Source organism: Homo sapiens, chromosome 3 (assembly GCF_000001405.40).
Source record: "Homo sapiens chromosome 3, GRCh38.p14 Primary Assembly".
In the NCBI taxonomy this organism is placed as follows: domain Eukaryota; kingdom Metazoa; phylum Chordata; class Mammalia; order Primates; family Hominidae; genus Homo; species Homo sapiens.
Window position 1 is genome coordinate 85,452,898 of NC_000003.12, and position 20,895 is coordinate 85,473,792.

Consider the following 20,895-nt stretch of genomic DNA (forward strand, 5'->3'; position numbering starts at 1 on the left):
TATAGACACATACAAAGGCATGCAGACTTACAAACGCACAGACACACAATCACAGAAAAATATACACACACACACTTAAATATGTGTTAGAAGAGTCATTTGGAAACTAAACCTGGGTAAAAATAACTTCTTAAAGTGTACTACTAGTAGTTCACAGATTACAAAAATGCCAATATTATAAAAACTACACAGTCAGCCTTTATTTGTTTACCTGAAATAACTTTATTAGCATATATAAGTAGGTAGTTAAGTTTAAAGAGAAACTATTTCATTCCATTTTATTTTTTTGTTTGTGTTTTGTGTGTGTATTTCATATATACTTATTATTTCATGTAAGTATATATGTAGTGAAAAATAAATGCATAGTATAATAAAGTGGATGTTTCTTTGAAAAAAATTTACACTTCTTTAAATTCCTTTAACATTGGTTTCCATATATTAATATTATTTTTGTGTGTTTTTCCTCTGGTGTATTAATAGAACTTTTGAAATTAGCATGATTATCAGTGGTTATCGTATTCTTAATTGACAAGAGACCCTCTTCAATTCACATATTTTATGAAGCTCTCATAAACATGTATTTTCCTATAGTACATATTAGCATTTTATATCATTATCATATTGATTATATTTATTGTCAATTTTCTGGATTTCTGGAGTAACACAGTCCAGAATATTTTCATCCCAAATTTTTTTTGTGTGACATCTTTGTTTAAATAATAATGACAGAATGGAAAATTACTGTACGTGGATTCAAAAATAATGGTGAATGTTTTATTACATTTTACATCATCACTTACCTAAAAAAAACCTGTTTAATGTGCAAGGTGAAAAGTTAAAGGAATTGTATGAAATAATTAGATTTAAACTATGTTAAAGAGATTCAAATGATCAAGTAATTTTGGAATATATAAAAACTAATAGTCACAATTTTTGCATAGATTGAGCAGTCTGAAAATCTGGATGATTAGTATTTTACTCACTTCACTGCAATATTTTAGGTAGTACAGTCATAAAAATTAAAACTAGAAACGGCAATATTTTACATGGTAAAAACTACCACATGTAGTAAGCAGTATTAAACATTTGGGAAAAAAGGAACCAAGAAAAAACAGATTGAAGAAATTATCCAAATTAAAACTAAACCTGCAATCTTTATTTTAAAAAATACAAGCGGCTGGGCGTGGAGGCTCACGCCCGTAATCCAAGCATTTTGGGAGGCCGAGACGGGCAGATCACCTGAGGGCAGGAGTTCAAGACTAGCCTGGTCAACATGGTGAAACCCTGTCTTTACTAAAAATACAAAAATTAGCCAGGTGTGGTGGCAGGAGGCTGAGGAAGGAGAATCGCTTGAACCCGGGAGGTGGAGGTTGCAGTGAGCCGAGATTACAACACTGCACTCTAGCCTGGGCAACAGAGTGAGACTCAGTCACAAAAATAAAAAGTTTTTAAAAAAATGCAAGCAATATAATTAATCCTTCTAGTACGCAGAATCCCACCAAGCAAGCAGACCACAAACTCAAAGAGGATCACTGAGGAAAAAAATGGAGCTGTTGAGAGGCTATGGTCAAGGGACTAACAAAAATCGAAAGCTATTACCACTCCTAGGCCTGAAGACATAAAAGAACATCTTTAAAAGAACTTAATCCTCGATATATAAAAACCAGATATAGAACCAAAATGCTCACTGTTATTAAAAATTTGGGGATCAAATTACCCATTATGTCAAAATGACACAGTCAATTTTTTTTGCCCACAAACTGAATGCATATTCAGACATGAAAAAGCTAATCCAATGATGCAAACCCATTAACTCAACAAATATTTGTCAAGTACCCACTATGAACCAACTGAAGTGCTAAAGCATTACATGCAACTATCGTTGTTGCCTTTAGGGAGCTTAAAGTTGAGAGGGTGATATTAATCAGTAAGCAAACATTAACACACAAAACAGAATCACAAATTCTGATATGTTCTGTAAATGACAATTTCATGCTGTAGTTGAAATTCTCATGAATCGCTTCATTGATTCAATGCTGCCTTATTTTTGATGGTTGCCTTGGTTGTTGTAAGTCATTGCAGATAGAAATCTTATGTGTGATAAGGATTCATAGTTGAAACAACTTTGTGGACAAATTAGCTATGCTGTGGTCAGCCCATATCCTACAAATATCTGTAACCTTGATAATATCGTAAATTAGTTAATGAAATTCCAGTGTATGCTTCCCAAAAAGGAATTTGTTCAAGAGGATAATCTACCTCATTAAATTAGTTTAGCTCAAAAAAGAAAAAGCTTAAAAATCAAAGCCACAATAAAACACAAATGCAAAAGTTTTAAAATTCTCTTTGAATTCATAAGTAAAGGATATTTAAGGAAACATTGCTAAGTAACTCAATACATGTCGCTAATTGCACTAATTATTATTTTGTCACATTTATTACCTTCATCTTTCATAGCATGAGTAATTAAGTGACAAAAACAGGTTTTATATTGTGATCAAACAATATTCTGTTACATCCACCCTACTGATGTCTTCAAAGAAAGTGCTGTCACAGTTTTTCCAGTAAAGAACATGTAAGTTGATAAGCAGAAAAATGTCTCAGTTTAAAGAACATAAACCTAAGGCCTGGATGGACTTGATAGCATGGGAAAAATATGCGAAGAAAGACTTCCAACAGAAACTAATTTAACACAATTCATATTGTCTGTGGCATATGGATGCTCTTTTTTAATATGTCCATTGAAATTCTTACTTAATATCACAGGATCCTGTAGTTGCAACTGAAGGCTTCACAAAGGGCCTTCTCAGCAGAAGGGCAATTTTATTAATGACTGACTCCTCTTTTAAGTGTTGGACAAAAGCCAGCAGAAACGCAAAGCCCACAAGCCTCAAACAATTATGTGATTGGCTTCGGCATGGGCATGAGAAAGTGGGTATGAGTGTGTTCGTGTGTGTGTGTATTTAAAAGACATAGTGGTCAATCTCCAGGGATATTCTGCTTCATGATGACAAAGAGTAGATAAATTACCCAAAATAACACAAAATATATGAAATGAAAGCTATTACTTCTACACATAAAAATAACAAATGACATCACGTGACCTTCTTTCCACATTTGATAGTGAAGAACTTTGAGTCTGAGTCTAACTTTTGATCTATACAGAGGTCAGAGGTTACCTTTAAATGGGAGTTTTGGATCTGCCTGTCAGTGCATCTGAAGCACACCTCTGCAGATATTGGCTGACTTTGATTATAAGCATTTTGATAACAAAAAGTCAGAGTTGTCTGGTATCAGCAGACACCATTTTGAACAGTACATTATCTAGACAGTCTGAAGCCAAGTTGAGACAATTGATATCTGAGATTGATAGTCTATCTGGCAGCCATTCCTAGACAATGTCTGAGCTCTGACCCTGTATCTACTTGAATCACTACAAAGTTAGATTTCCAGACCACACAATACTATAGCCAGTATTATGTAACACTTGGCTATTAGGTTTCACATGTGAGAAGAAATGGCCATACAAAGAATATTCATGATTTGTGTAGATAATTAGATAAGGGATATTGAATGATATTCTGTGCAGTCTTAAGCAAGTTTCCAAAATATTCATCAATATTATTTGTTATATGTTATACATTCAACTATCTCAAATTTTTATATAGCATACTTTTTCAAAAGTTTAACATATCATCTACTTCTCTTGAACCTTTTCTGATAAGATTTTATTTATTAATTACTCAAATATAAATAAATTTTACTTTGGTTTCTAATATCAATTTCAGATGACACCCTCTATGAAGTTCAAGTAATATTTAAGTCTATAGGCCTACTTTTTTCAGTGACAGGACAAAGTTGATGCATACAAAGTAGTATGAAAATGTGGATTCAAAAGTCTTAGATATTAAGTAAAAACAACTATGTGTTTTTTTCTTTTTTTTTTTTTCGAAATACTCCCTTGTTTTTAGATCTTTCTACAATAAACAGCACTCATTGTCAGGCTGTTTAATGAAAAACGGATGTGTGCAGTTTAAAAACAGTTGATAAAGTAGTATAGAGGTAAATTGGAACAATTTTATTCCTGTAAAATTTTGAACAATTCTTATTTCTAGATACTTGACAATTAAGATGCACTGCTGATAATCAGGCATGTTTTTGGCATTATTTGTAATCACCCCAAACTGTTTATCAGATTCTTTAAAAGAAGAAGAAAAAAGAAAAGCAAAGAAAGGCCAGGAGCAGTGGCTCACGCCTGTAATCCCAGCACTTTGGGAGGCTGAGGCAGGTGGATCACTTGACTCCAGGAGGTTGGTACCAGTCTGGGCAACATGGCAAAACACCATCTCTACAAAATACATAAAATTTAGCCAGGTGTGGTGACACAGGCCTGTACTCCCAGCAACTCAGGAGCCTAAGGCAGGAAGGTCGCTTGAGCCTAGGAGGTCAAGGCTGCAGTGAGCCATGATTGCACCACTGCACTCCAGCCCGGGTGACACAGCAAGACCCTGTCTCAAGGAAAAAAAAAAAATTAAAAAGGATTTATTATGAATTTCTTATATTTTAACACTTGAGTGTTCATATGAAAAAGAGTTAAAATGTTAGTAGTACATATTACCTTTTCTACCCTGCTTTCTCTATACTATCATCATCTCATCTCAGCCTGCACAAAAAGGGCATCTAGTGATTATGATTTTTACTGAAAATTGATAGTAAATATATTATCAAATCAACCATTATCTTATTTTTAGGACATAGATGAATAATACAATTGAGGATTAAGTTATAAATATTGTAAGTTGAAGTGTAATGCAAACTTAGAATTTGTTTGTAATGATTGACACTATAATATTAAAGATTATAATAAAGGCAAAGGATGACTTCTAAATTTGTTTTTATTTTATGGATAAATGTTTCAAAAAGTCTTGATATTTTTAATTGATTTTGGACACTTTTTTTAGGTGTTCAGATGTAACACAATTCTTTTTGGCATTTGAAATCCCCCAAATATAATCTCCTAGTACTTTTCTACTCTTATTTTTCACAGTTATGATTAGGTTTTTTGGGCTAATTTAAGTTACTCAGGAATACTTTTATCATCTCTTTACCTAAAACTCTTACACATTTTTCTTTCCACAATTCAATCTCTGTTTCATGGTCTACATCAACTATTCCTTTGTTTATGATCTTCCTTTCAGGAAGCAAACGCTTGTTCTTTTGAACTTCTAAAATGCTTTATACCTCTCTTGTGGCACAGATTTTCTGCTTTGTATCTTGTGGCCATGCATATAGTTATCTGTCTCTCCTGCTGAATAACGTTATTCTTTGGCAGGGATTTCATGTTTTGTATTCATTTTTCCCAGGAAATGCCTTACACCATGCCCTGCACATAACAGGGATATTATAAACTTATGCATTTATTATTTTATGTTATCCCACTCCTCTGCCTGTGGGAAGGATATCTTTGAATAATGGAAAGTTCTGGTGTAAAAACAACAATAAGCCTTGGTTCAGTCTGCAACACAGTGATCTAAAAGTTTTATTCATTCACTCAAGAAATATGTATTGATCTCCTGTGGTTATCTATATACTACCTGAGTTGAAAAGTAGAGAATTAGAAAAGGTCATATTGAACTGCATCTTGCCGTTCTTTTCCAGAATGTAGGTAGGTAAAGATCAATTTGATTTCTCCTCTCATTGCCTTTCTGCTTCAACTCTAGGACGAGAGGAGTGGTTTGAAAAGTATGTTTCCCATAATCATGTAGGAGCTATTGAAGAAAAGAGGATTGGGGGCCAAGTGGGAGACAAGCTCTGAGATTCTACACTCTTCCTCTTTAACCAGGGCAACACTAGCCTTTCTTGTTTTATTATTAGAATACAAAAAGACAAAAAAAATCAAAGAAACTTTCACTTGAGGAATACAACAAATAAAAGTACATTTTAAAATCACAGTAGAAAGGAACATAGTATTAAAAGGAAGGCAATCTCTAAAAGGTGAATCATATTGCATGCTTGTACATTGCTTTTGTGATGAATCTCTTCAGTATACAAATGGAAATTCTTTTTGCAATACTTCAGACAATTCAAAGAAAATCATATCATTTTACTTATAGAAAATTGAGCTTGATTATATAGTGTTATTGTAGACCAAATAATTTAGGATAGATGCAGGGTTGAATTTCTTAAAAGGTAACCTGGCTTTCAGTTGTTTTCTGGTACAAGAATACCCAAGTAAAAGTCACTTGAACAATAATATTTCTGGTTAGCTCAGTGGCCCATGTTCTCTGAGATTCTCCCCATCTTTCTCTTACAGGGGCAAGATGGCTGCAGAAGCTCCAGGAATCTTGTCCTCTCATGACATTGTCCAAAACCAAAAAAAGGGAAAACATTTTCTTCACATTTCTCTCTCCTTTTGACAGGAAGCAAAATGTCCTTAGATGTACTCAGCACAATTTCCCCAGGTGTGGGTATTTAGGCCAGGCTCTACCCGAATAAGAGACTAGAAATGGGAGTGTGTGGAATTTCTAGCCTCTATCCTGGGTGATAGGCTCTGCCAGTAGTGAGAAGGGAAAGAAAGGGGACTACGCTGTGTCAAACAGCTACTGATAAATGGTGTGTAGCAGAGATGCTTAAAAAGAAAAAAGTTACATTCTTATTAATATCAAATTAGTGTGACCCTAACCAGATGCTGAAATAAACTATATTTAAGACTATTAGATTCAATAAAACTACACTACTTTTGATTTATGATTTTCCTTCTCTTACTATGTTATAATTGCAAATAGTTAATTGTATATCATTTATTTTATTGCTGATTCATTTTCAGTTTATTCCTATTGTATTGCCATTCATGGCTTGCCTTTTGAAGCGAGACTAAAAAGCATGTTTGTTGGAACTCTGCATGTGTTTTTGATTGTGGATGCCATTCACACATAGTGTGAATTAAGATGCTCTTGTATTTTTCCATTCTTTGATGCTTGTTTTTATGTCCACCATACATGGCCCTTTGTTACTGCATTGTTTCATCTCTTTATTTCTATTTTGTATCTGCCAGAGTAAAAAAGATTAACATATTTTAAAGAGATTTCTTAATCAAAAGATAAATCACTTTTAGGCTTTACGTGAAGAAACCTTAGATACTGTAAAAAATGTTTTCATCTCTTCTACCTCAGCTATTCTCCGTCATATCTTGATACCTTAAACTGTACAAAACGAGCTTGTAGAATTACTGTCTGAGAAGTTAGTGTTTGTATGTTTTTAATTTAATGTTCATACTAAACTTTATGTTAATCAGTTCAGAATTTTTCAACTAACTCAGATTAGTTGAAAAATCTCTCTAAGAAGGGAGTATTTCTGAATATGATGAAATATGGGAGGTTCAGAAAAAAAAATGTGTTATCTATTTAATTCGTTACCAAGAAGCATGAACCACTGTGAAGACAGAATCCAACTTTATAAAAAAAAATTTTCAGCTTACATAAATTAATAATTGATTTTGTACTCAGACACACTTATTGATCTATAATTAAAAGACCTCCAAAAGCTATTTTTAAACTGCCTTCCTTGCATTTCAAAATGTAACTGAAGTTTTAGAATGCAGGGAAACCTTAAGTTTTTGAAGGAGGTATGAAGGTTATAGGCATACTCTCTAATTATTGGTTTTGTGAGATGCCTTTAAAGTCTCCATTGTGATATTTTATATTTTGTTTTACCATTGCGATTTCTTCAATGCAAAAAGTATCTTGTTAATAGTACATAGGAAATTGGGTAAATTTAGTATAAATCTTAACTACTATGTTTGGAATTATTTTCGTGTGTGGGTGGGTGGGAGATGTGGTGTGTGTGTGTGTGTGTGTGTGTCTGCATTCACCAGCCCACCACCATTCCCATTCCCTTGAAAGGTAGGTGAGGAAAGTGTCTAATAGATAATTGCTTTTAATGTATTTGCCCCATGGAAGCTCTCCTCTAGAGAAAAGCACTAAAGCAGAAGAGATGAAATTGTTCCTTGTTGCAATGAATATTAGCTCTGTCCTTGCTAATTGAGAAAAAGTAAAGTCTGGGAAGGAACGAAGAGGGAAAATCTTGTATTATTTTTGCCTGTGAGTTCATTTTCAGTTTTTGTTCTATTATTTTAATTCACAAACTTTATATTTCACAGAAGTTTTCCATTCACAGCAAAATTCAGTGGAAGGTACAGAGATTTTCCTTATATGCTCTGCCTCCATTCATTTTTTATTTTAATCAAAGGATCATTCACTCATGTTTTCGCATGAGATGTACACACTTTGAAGAAGACTTTAAGCACAGAAATTTAACACATAAAAAGGCTTGCTCCCTCCCCCAGCCATCTCAACACCATGTAATATTATACTTCACTGGATAATCTCTATGAGATTTCAGACACAAGTCAGCAACTTCAGCTAAAGACAAGCAGATATGATATTAGGAGGAGAGGTAGTGAGGACTACTTTATATTTGAAATTATTTGAAGTGTAAGTTTCTTTCCTACAATTTCACATAACATACGCTTTTATTGATACTTTTTAGTAAAATCATTATTGATATTTTAGTTTACTTAGGAAAAATTGTAAGCTACAAACCATATATGTTATGTTTCTGAATATGCAGTCATGTCATAACTCAGGAGGAAAAAGTTTCAACTTTCTGGTTTGAGAATATTTCTTGCACCTGTCCCTTTACTTTTATCCCAAATTGTCACAGCAACCCCAATTCAAGTTCTTACTGCCTTTCAGCTGGGCTTTATGATAACCTTTCATTTTTAACTCCTAACCTATTCTAATCCATTCTATTTGATACCAGAAAAGAATCTTGCTAGATCACAAATTTTGCACAGCCAATTCTCTCATTTGAAAGAAAGACAGAAAAACTATTAAATGTCAGTTGTCCTATCATCTATTGCTATCTAATTAATGCCAACATCTATATCCTGAAAACTTAGATTCAGATAAATATAATAAATATACAGCAAAGTTGGACATTATAGTCTCTAATAAAAGTGTAATGGCTATCAGGGGTCCGGACTTTCGCTGTTTCTGTAGAACTGAGCTCTAGAAAAGTGCTCTGATTCCACAGTACTTTGGCCCAATTATTAGATAGAAACATTAACAGGAGAGGAGGGCAATTAATCAGGTTACCACTGTCTGACAAAGTGATCCCTTAAGACCATTTAACTCCCTTTGTTCTAATTCTGTTCCCTCAAGAGAAACATCTAATCTATGATTTTTGTCTCCTCTGAGAACCTACCTACCCAGGAGGGTATGCCCTTGCCAATGACTTGCTCCAGTTGTCAAGCCCCAGAATATCCCCCCAATATAATTTGAAACATTGTTACTTCAGCCTATGAATTAGCCTCATGTGAATTTAACTCTAATGACTTTATCCCCCAGGAATAGAACAGCTGTAGTGATCTAACAAAACCAAATTTCTAACTGCACACCAAGACTATGACAATTCCATTAAGCGGTATTTCTTGAGGTACATTATGAAAAAGTAGCCTAAGTCACCCACAAATGTTATTGAAAGTTTACTTGGTTGGAAACCATCTACAAAGCTTGATTCATTCCATGGTGGCCTTTATTGGGAATTTGTGTTAGCTATTATTGCATGCTGACTTCAACAGAGTAACTCATCACTCTCCAAACATTAATCTGGGTTCGTTTTATTCTAAATCATTCCAACACTTGGACTCCAAAGACACAAAAACACTAGCATCATATCTCAGTACCTTCAAATAATATTATGTCAAAAAGATTCCATTAGTGAACTTTTATATTGAAAAATTCCCAGTTAACCCTAGCCTAAAATACTATTTACAATTATAGAAAAATAAAAGATTCAAAAAGCATTAACACTGAACTTTACTGTCTTTGGTATATATTGCACACTCCCATTGATTAACATCATATTGCATAACTACTTTGTATTTTGAAAGTAATGTACCAATAGACCACATTACTGAAAAAAGGTCTCAGTGTTAACCTAGTAGTTGTAGTTCAGTGGATATTTGTGTTTGGAGGCACTGTTTGGATTCTCTCCTGTGACCTGGAAAACCATTTTTCATGCCTTCGTTTCCTCATCTGTGAAAGGAAACTATACTACACTATAGTACCCACATCATAGGGCTGTTTGGAGCATTAAATTATTTAAGCCATATGACCGCTTAGATTCTTATACATAGCAAGTTTAACTCTTATGATTTTGTATTTTCAAATACTGATTTATTTGCAGCAGAACTGGATATTAGAGACTTTTTGTTCCGGTACCTTTTGACTTTGCTGAGGTCTCCAGAGTTACCCTCGTTTCATAGGCCTTGTGAATGTAAAGCAAGTTCTAGTGGTTGTGAAATGCTGAAACATTTCCCCATTATTCTAACTGATTTTGAATGACATATTCTCTCTAAGGGGCTCTTCTCATATGTTCTCATTGCAAGCTGAGAGGAACTGTAACTTTATCTGGCTTGGGCAGGTTTGATTGTTTTGGAAAAATCTGTGCCTTTCAAGGAATGCATTTAAGTATTTTGGTGATTCTTGATCAGGAATTGCCTACTTCCTCAGAGTCTGTTGAGAATAAACTCAGAGTTTCTTTGCTTTCAGCCTCAGTGAATTCATATTATCTTAGTGTCCTATATTTTTAAATAAAAGGGATTGTAACTATTTATATATATTCAAAATGTATATTAATAAATGTGTACATATGAGTGAAAAAAATCTTTACATTCCCATGTTCAACCCTGAAGGCTGAATGCATAGATATGTTCTTTGACTGAGATATGTAAACAATTTGCTTTAAAAATGGTGTGGAAAATAATTTTACTGGTTATCTCATTAGAAGATTTTAAAAACCAACAGTTCAATATTGTTTCGCTCATTTTCTGTTTTTCTCTCAAGGCTCTATGCTACTAGACCATGTATTTACAATTCTGACAAAGGACATAGCAAGTTTCACAATTGCAATACGTTTTATGCCTACTGTTCTCTCAAAGTTTTAACTATAATATGTTCATAGATCCAAGGTTATTGGGGTATGATATTCGACCCAAATTTAAATCTTACTCTAAATTCGAAAGATCATATATTGCTTTTCTGTTTTTTAAGTGATCAATATGTAATTCTCTCCATGATGCAGTATGAGCAATGAAGCAGAAGAGTTCACTTTCCCCTAATAATAAACATATTTTAGATTTGAAGCTCTGAAAATAATTTTGGTGAATAATGAGACCTAGTTACTTAAGCTTTATATATTTATAAATGACCATGACATGCAAAATTTTTTTCTTTCCACATGTGTATAAAATATAGATGGACTCGAAATATGATTATATATTTATTTTTAAAACTGATATTTCCTTTTCTCTTGTGATCCAAATGTGATCACATCAATCTAAAACTTTGTTTTCCCTGCCACCATCTTGAACTCTTTGCTTAGAGACATTTAATGAAAAGTACAAAAAGAAAAGAAATTCCATCTGTCTCTGGAAATTCAGGTTTCTTGAAGATCAGGGACAGGACTCAAAAGATCCTTCAACGTTTAAACTTCCTGAATATGACATGATTTGTAATATAGAAGTAAAGGCACATCAAAGTTGACATTTCAAAAATGTGACCTGTCTATTGTACTTAACTTTAAGGTGAGTCCATGAATTTCTCCCCGCTAAGTCTATTTCTTGCCCCATTTTAGGCAGATGAAAGAATAATAAAAATGATTTTTCTCTCCGTTTAAAGGCATAGTTTATATGAAGATACAATTCGTTTCATCATATATTACATCACATAATACCAATTTTAAAGCTCTGTAGTTAAAGGAAATATGCAATATATTCAGTGTTTTCGTGTAGAAAATACTTTTTAATCCTAAAATAGATAAATTTAGTTTGGTTGATTAGATGTCTTACAGTAATATTCTCTGTACTCCAAAATCAATATATAGTCAATTGGCTTTAAGACATACTTTTGGCCAAGCTCAGTGGCTCACGCCGTAATCTCAGCACTTTGGGAGGCCGAGGTGGGTGGATCACAAGGTCAGCAGATCAAGACCATCCTGGCTAACACTGTGAAACCCCGTCTCTACTGAAAATACTAAAAATTAGCCGGGCGTGGTGGCACACGCCTATAGTCCCAGCAACTCGGGAGGCTGAGGCAGAAGAATTGCTGGAACCCAGGAGGGCAGAGGTTGCAGTAAGCTGAGATCGCGCCACTGCACTCCAGCCTGGGAGACAGAACGAGACTCTGTCTCAAAACAAAACAAAACAAAACAACAACAACAAAAACAAACAAACAAAAAACATACTTTTGTGTGCGTATAATCATAAGGCAATATTAACAAGCAAATCAGATCTTGTCGCATAAGATGTGGAACACACCTTTGCTTAAGTACTATTTGAAAAACTAGAGATATCTGGTTTGAGATATAATCATCTTTAGTATTTGCCACTACCATCGACCACCTGGGAATGCAGTAAAATTAAGAAGTACATTTTGATGAACAAAATAATAACTAATGAGTAATTTAAAAAGTCAACGAACACATATTATGTATAAGTATACAACATTTTGTTCATAAGACCTTTTCACCAACTCCAAATTTATATATATTAAGTACCATCATGTCACTATTTTTGTGAGTCATATTCACCTGGAAAAAATATAAATTATTAGATATTTTATATTTTACCAATTTGGAAATTAAGATGAGAATGTTTTTGTGCTTAAATTTTATCTTTGTCCAAAAAGATATCCATGAAGATTATAGGCGTGTTACATTTATCTTTGTTGTTTTCTACTCTTTCCCTGCAGTGAGAGGACTAGTCAAATGCTTCTTATTGCCAATCATGAGAACTACACATATTAATAATAGATGGAAAAGCTTACAGAATTAAATGAACACAGTGACTTAGTGTAATACATAGGGGCTGTATCTTTGTTGACTAGTTGATGTTTATCTAAGCGCAGGAAGATTATCTGAAGACCATTACCGAAAGTATGGAAAATAGGATCTTTTCTAGAAGCAAAGAATTGCTATCATATGAAGTGCTTGCATTTATTTGTTAAAGCAAGTAACACTACATTCTCCAGAGGAGAATATATTTGATCTTCCACTGAACTATCTTATATCCTTGTGGATAAATCGTTTTCTGTATGACTAGATATAATTCTAAATACCACGTGCTTGTCAGATCCATGAAGTGACTTGGAGAAAGCCTTATTTTCAAAATTATCTTGTCAATTTCATTGTGACAGTAGCAGAAGCAGGTAGCAGTAGTTTTCTTCTGATTATGTTAAAATCTCATCTATTATTTAGTTTAAAGCTGACAGCATATATTAAGGCTTAATGAACACTTTCAGTAATTTCAGACTAAATTTATCTTCCCCAATTTTATACGTTTTTGTCATTTGTGGGTTATAATTTGATCAAAGGTTAATTTCAGGAGGAGTTTTTCCAAATTATTTCAACATTAAAAAAGTAGAGAGTGAATTTTTGGGAAATCTATCCATGTGAAACTATTTTTAGCAGAAGTTAAATGATAAGACACACGCTAAAAACGCTTTGCCTTTTTTGCAGTGGAAGAATAAGGTAGTTGCCATTTTTGTCCATATCTGGTAGTCACAACTCTAGCTTGACTGCTACATGCCCATGCCAGTCACCCCTATTCATAGAATATAGTTTCAATCTCAATATAAAACATTAGATTTTAATGCTATATGAAATCATGTCAGATTAATTGCATACATAAAAATAGGAAGACATATTTAGGCAAAGATACGTTTAGGAGATAAACATTTTGCCAATAAAAATAAAATGTAATTCAGTTCTTTTTTCAAATTTTTAACAAAAAAAAATTATTACCTTGCTGTATTTTTTTTTCAACAGTTTCCCCCCATTGGATAGTATCAGCTGATAGAAAATATTTTCAGACAGTCTTGGAAAATGTGAATTCCTTGAGCTAGGAAGAAAGAGAAATTGCTTTTACTTTTCTCTCACATTCTTTCTTGGAACTAACTTAACATTTTGATCCAGCAGAGAATTGGCCTCCTGTAGCCAAGACTATGAATAACTACCAGCTTCAATACTTTTCTAGAATTCTGTAAATTTTATGTGGAAAACAGTGTCACAGTACACATATTGGGGTTAAAATTCCTCTTAGACAGATGCACCATCTAAATTCTTATAGCAACTACCCTATGTTGACTACAAGAGATATAGTTTTATTATTATGTAAAAGCATTGGAAACTAGAATTAGTCAGTTAAAAACAAAACTGAACTTCAGCAACAAATCATGGAGAATGTAGATATTTTTAAACTACTCCTTAGGTGACATAACTTGTCATTTAATGTGTCATTGCTGTAAAATACTTATATCTAGAATTTAGAGTTTTGGTATGTTGTATTTATTAAACTTCTTTTTGTATCATTTATTACCTATTAAAATACTAGCAAATAGATCAAAAATGCTTGTTATATTGATTCTATGAAATGCATAACATATTATAATATGGAACACCTCAAATATTGGAAATTTAAGGATGATAGCTCTTGCTGGTAACTTGTCACAAAGCTACTCTGTAAATTGGATGTTTATGTCAAATTTACAATGACCAGAAAATGTGATGTATTAATATCCTTGAGAAATGATAGAGACGTCATGAAAGTCAAGCAAATACCAACACTACAGGACATAAAAATTAAAAGGCTAATTAAAAAAAAAACACTCTGTTAACTTTTGAAAGATTCATTTGGTATTCTAAAGAAATTACTAATTGTGAGCTAAAATAGTGTTTTCTCCCATATTGGAAATATGTCAAAAGACATAGTAGGACTGGTCAAATTCATTCACACATACACCATTTTATCTTAATTATTATCTTGTTTGTACTCCTCAAAGGCCAACCCTGATGTAGAGATATGTGTGAAAGCACAGCAGGTCCTGAAATAAGACAGTTTCATTCGACACTGTTTCTGTTATAACATTGAGGCAGCGCCTGTAATCCCAGCACTTTGGGAGGCCGAGGCGGGCGGATCACGAGGTCAGGAGATCGAGACCATCCCGGCTAAAACGGTGAAACCCCGTCTCTACTAAAAATACAAAAAATTAGCCGGGCGCAGTGGCGGGCGCCTGTAGTCCCAGCTACTTGGGAGGCTGAGGCAGGAGAATGGCGTGAACCCGGGAGGCGGAGCTTGCAGTGAGCCGAGATCCCGCCACTGCACTCCAGCCTGGGCGACAGAGCGAGACTCCGTCTCAAAAAAAAAAAAAAAAAAAAAAAAAAAACATTGAGGCAGGAAAACTAATATCGATTCCTGGCTGAGACCACTGTCTGTTGTTTGCATGTTCTCCCTGTGTCTGCATGGGTTTTCTGCAGGTACTCTGGTTGCCTCCCCCGTAGAGAAGATGCTCACATTAGGTGAACTGTTGTGTCTAAGCCCCCAGTCTGAGTTAGTGTGGGTGTGTGGAGTGTGCCCTGTGGTGGGATGGTGTCCTGTCCAGAGCTGTCTCCCCGCTTGCACTCTGAGCTGCTAGGAGAGGCTCTTGCCATTTGTGATACTGAAATGGAAAAAACCATCAAATAATCACCTTACTTGTTATTAATCATTCTTAAGTGAGTATATAGTTCACATTTATTTCAATGTTTAATGTTAAAAGTATTTGGGGACTTTTTAAAGAAATTACTGATCTTTTTTTGACCAGAATATGCCATAAGAACTTAACTCTTGTTTATATCAATTAGCCTATAGTATAAATTTGGTTTCATTATACATCATTTCACTCAAAGTCACAGTTTCCAGGACCCCGTGGGATACATTAAGTGGGGACTTACTGTAATATATTTGGGTGGTGATACCAGAATACACTAGTCATAGAGTAAGGAAGTAATTCTGGTAAGGGATAAAAGTTAAAGTGAGATGTGCTAACGAGCAGATCACCACTGTGGGCAACTGGAGCTCAGACTTATTGGCAGCCCCTGGGAGAATGTAGAGAACCCAGCTCAGAGTTGTCCTATCCAGGGGCAAGAATGTTTGATGTTGGTGGATATGTATTTACCTCTCAATTTGTCATTGGTTGAAGACTCTTCATGGGGAGGGAAAATAATTACCTGCTATTCTAGCCTGCCTTACAGCACACTTCAGGCCACCACAAGTCAGAGAAAGCTTTTTAGGCTTAAAGTTGCAAGAGTTTGCAGTGCAAATGCAAAGTGTCAGACTCTGGGCTTATCAGCAAGGGCACATACCACAGCCTCTGCTAAACATGGAATATGAGAGTTTTTGATATGGGAGTGGGTGGAGTCAATTTCTTTTATAGATATTTATTTAGCGACTACTCTGTAAAACAGTATAATCAAATTATCTGTGGAAATGGGCAAAAGTGGTGCAGTAATTTAAAATCAAATGTCACACATAATGGCACCTGGGAAACAGGAATGTATTAGTAATGCAAGGGAGCTGGAGCCAAGCAGGAAGCCAGTCATCAATGTAGACAAGGGTGGGAACATAACAGAAAAGACGGGCCCTGTGTGGACAGACACGCCATGCAGGAATGGCCTCCAAATGGACCCAATAGTTTAATTCAAATGATAGGAGTGGCCAGAGCTCAATTTATTCAAAGAGCACCAAATATGATTTATTTGGGGGATCAGTCAGGAATGAGCATTCCTCTAGGAACTTTGTAAGCAAGAGAAAGGGGGAGAAATACAATTTAAGTTAAGAAAATAGTCAAAACCTATCAGATGGGATGTGATTCAGGGCAGAGCTGAAGTGCTTGATGAGAGAGAAGTTATAGGGTATCATGCATTATCACCATTGGCAATTACAAAGAAAACCAGAAAAAAACTCCTGTCCTTCCAAGTAGGCTAAAATTGACTGTAGTATGTTAACTCCAAGTGTTAACACAGTCAGTTTATTCACAAAAGTGTTGCAGGTGCCTACAACTCTATCTGGCACGTGGGAGGTGCCCAATGAGTATTATAAGGATGGACAAATAGAGATACTCTGATTTGTTTCCTGATATGTTGGGTCCTGGGAGTGATGGAGCATGACAAGCCAGGAAAATAGCGTTTTTGGAAGGGGAGGTGATGCTGGAGGGAAGCGGAGTAGGAATTCAGCTGAGATGCTCAATCCTCAATACTGGAGAGTGGTTTAATTCAAATTTCTGTTGGATTTAATAATGTCTATTTATATTTGATTTACCTTCAGGTGTCCAATAAACAGACTTAATAGTTTGGATTGCAGAATCTCAGAAAAATGATACAATTATTATCTAACAGTGCTTTTGGAGAACTCACAAAACTTGTTATGGATACAAACAGTGTTTATATTCTCATAATCAAATAACAATGCGAAGAATATATGCATCTTAAGGTGGTGATGCAAATTCATATAAGGAGTTAGCAAGCAAGGGCCATGTGGTCTGAAATATGTGTCCTGGGAATACAGGTAAAAAGACAGGATGTTGGGATAGCTTTCAAAAACTTAAAGACACTTAAGTCTATGTGCTGAAATATAGTAGATCTTTGTGTTTTAGTAGAAAAGGAAAACAAGAAAAGAATTCAGACAGGAATTACATAGGGTTTTATTAGAGTGCAATTTAGGGAAGACTTTGTGAGAGTTCAATAGTCTGAAATGAAAACTATATGAATGGGTATCCTCCCAATTCTGGAAATGATCAAAGAGTGACTACGTGATTTTTTGGATAGATAAAATAAAATTCTAGCAATTAATTATATACAATAAAAACATTCTCCCAAGTTATTTATAACTTTAAAATTTATCATTCAACTATTTAAGGAATGTGTTGCTGGATTTTACATTGAAAAACAGCTAGAGTGGCACAAACAGGGAAACTATTTGGTCTGAAAACCAAGAAACTCAGACATAAAGAACATAACTTAAAGGAAGGTTTCTTCATTTCTAGCTTCCTCATTTATCTCTCAAAGTTCAACTGCATATGTTCCACCCTTAGAAAAAGTTTAGTGTTTAAAATATTGTCATAACCAATTAACTGGAAAAATATATTTTGTTTTGTGATATATTTAAAATAACTTGAAAATACAGGCAAATTCCACAGCTGTATGCTGCAGATTTATTGTTTAATCATGGTATTTTTACTCACTATGAAATTCTGTGGATGCCTGTACCACTTAGGAAACAAACTAAAGCTGCTCTAACAAGGACATTTCAAAATATACTATTTTAAAGCACTTGGAGTTTTATGTCTGTCTTAAAATAGCCTAAAAGTGAGCATTCCAAGATGTAGGGGTGGCTCAGTTTCGCGTCATCACTCAGGGATCCAGGTTTCATCTATCTTGTCCCTCTACCATATTCCAGGATATTGCCATCTTCTCCACTTGGTTCAAATTTGGTTCATCCATTGTTCCAGCTTCCAGGAAGTAGAAAAGAGCTTGGGAGAAAACAAGATGAAAGTGTTAAGTCTCACTCAGACTAGAAGTGATATCCTTTACTTCTGCTCAATTCTATCAACACAAACTTAATAACAACTAACTTCAAGGGAAGCTGACAACCATCTGCCTTGTTAAAATTATATTAGTGAAAAGACAGAGAAAACCAAATGTAGGTGGACCATAAGCAATCTGTGCCAAAGACTCAAAATAAAAGGCAGAACGTGAGGTATCAAACTGCTCAAATCATCAGGGTGCTGGAATTTTTTAGTTAGATTTTCCTAAGACTTTTCATCTTCTGGTTAACAAAGAAACTTTAAAAAATTCCATAGTTAATTTAAGAAAAAATCTAACTGCGTTTGTTTTTCCTGGTTATATTTTTAGCATTTTATTTTATTTTATTTTATTTTATTTTATTTTATTATACTTTAAGTTCTGGGGTACATGTAAGTTTGTTATACAGCTGACAGAGACAAAATATCACTGACAGTGGAAAAATACAAAAGTCAATATTTTTGTTAAAATTCTTATAATATCTATATTTTAAAGATTAACATAAATTTGTACCTATAAGTAGTTCTCAATTCTAATAAAACCAGGCCATTCTATTCTTTATACATTATCTCTAGTTTAGGGATCTAAGGAAGTCCCAATTCAAATTAAATGTGTTCAATCTCTACGTAAGTGTAGTGAGACTCTTAGTGTAGTAAAAGTTTAGTGAAGAGAACCTTGAAATATAACTTGATGAAAGAAGCTTGAAGTCTATCTAAAGTATTCCAGACTTTTCTCTTATTTCTTCTGGGGACATTTTTAATGGAATAATTTATTTTTAATTATATATTTGTACACCATAGCCTTCTGCTACTTCTCAAAAATTCTTTTTTACTTAATATCATGAACATACTTTGTATTTTTAAATTATTTGTTGATCTAGGTCATTTAGTTGAGTGTTAAAATATTTTGCCAAATAAATAAATATTCATATAAAAATTTCAAATAAAAATATTTGAATTTTTGCCAAACTTTTAAAAAATTATTTTTACTTTCCTTGAGGGAAAAGTATAAGTTGTGTTATTCATACACACACGCACCCACACAGAAACACACATACACAGAGTGATATATAGATAGAAAGATACATTTACATGTAGATACCGATGAGGATATATACATTTCTACTCTGTGTTCTCATATATTATTTATTATGACATTTTGGGTAATGCTAGAAATACAATATACTTTCGTTGAAATTATAAATCTAAATGTGAAAATTTCAGATGATAAATTTCAGCAATATGTTTAACATGTTAACTATTATTCTCCTTTGGCTTGGATAATTTGGAACTGGTACCATGTTATCTATAATGGGAGAGATGAATAGCATTACTTGAAAGCCTAGTCTGCTCCATTGGCTCTGCATACGTCTTATTTCTACTCACTAAAACTACACATGGTAGATCCTATTATTGTCACTCATTCTCTCTCTCTCTGTCTCTAATCGATGGAAAATGAAATCTTAAAGACATTAAGTAATTGACAATTTTACCGAGCTAGGAGTGATAGAGTAACTGGCTTTAAAATGTAGTCTTCTGTTCTATTAATATCACAATACGTGTAGTCCCTTTGTAAACCACTGCTAAATTTCCATTTGCATGTTGAACCATCAGTTTCTTACACAATTATAACAATTATGTCAATTTTCTCTATCATATATATGTAATGAATATGATATATTGTTCTTATATGCAAAACAGAATGTAAGCAATAAACAGAAGTTAACTTCATTACCTACACATTTATTTCGTTGAATTTAAATTGCCAGTTACTACAATGTGTTACTTTCCTTTGAAAATGAGTATCATTCTTCCAAAATTCTACCATTTAAAATGGAATTCATTGAAATGAATAATTGTATGAATTATTTTACTGAGCACAGTGAGAGATAACGAAGGAGGTAACAATCATAGCAGAAATGCATCAATATTAAATATTTACTGCATAACTCATTCTTATTGGACACAGCTGTCGATAAAATATGCCTTTACTCTTGACAAGTAGCTCCTGTGTTTTGCTTGTAGATGAGCTTGCAGCCCTGCTCTGTATTCTTTATCTTCATCACTGCACCAGTCTTTTAATTAGGCAGTGAAATCATCTGCATAGTGATTAGGAAATCACAGTTAAGAAAGCGTTACAAAGAGATGTTTCTGGAAGCGCTTTGCTTTGGAAATTCCTCCATGTTCAACATCAAGGAAACATATTCAGACAAATGACATTCAGGTCATCAGGTTTACCAAATCTTCACTCCTGAATCCTCAAATGTTGGAGGAACTAGAAAAAGTCTTGAGCCTGTCTAACAAATAACAGCAACTTCATTATTTAACCTGTGAAATGAAGGTAGTGAAGAACTTTGTGTTATAATTTATACCGATTTTTATATTCAAAAGAATATTTCATCTTATGCAAATGATTGTGTTACTATTGTAGGTTCAT

General features: G+C 34.0%; 1 protein-coding gene across 11 annotated transcripts in view; it reads left to right on the plus strand.

Annotated features, from left to right (window-relative positions):
- Positions 1 to 20,895, plus strand: part of CADM2 (cell adhesion molecule 2) — a 1,115,441-nt gene that overhangs the window by 493,909 nt on the left and 600,637 nt on the right. The gene's annotated exons all lie outside the window — the stretch shown is intronic.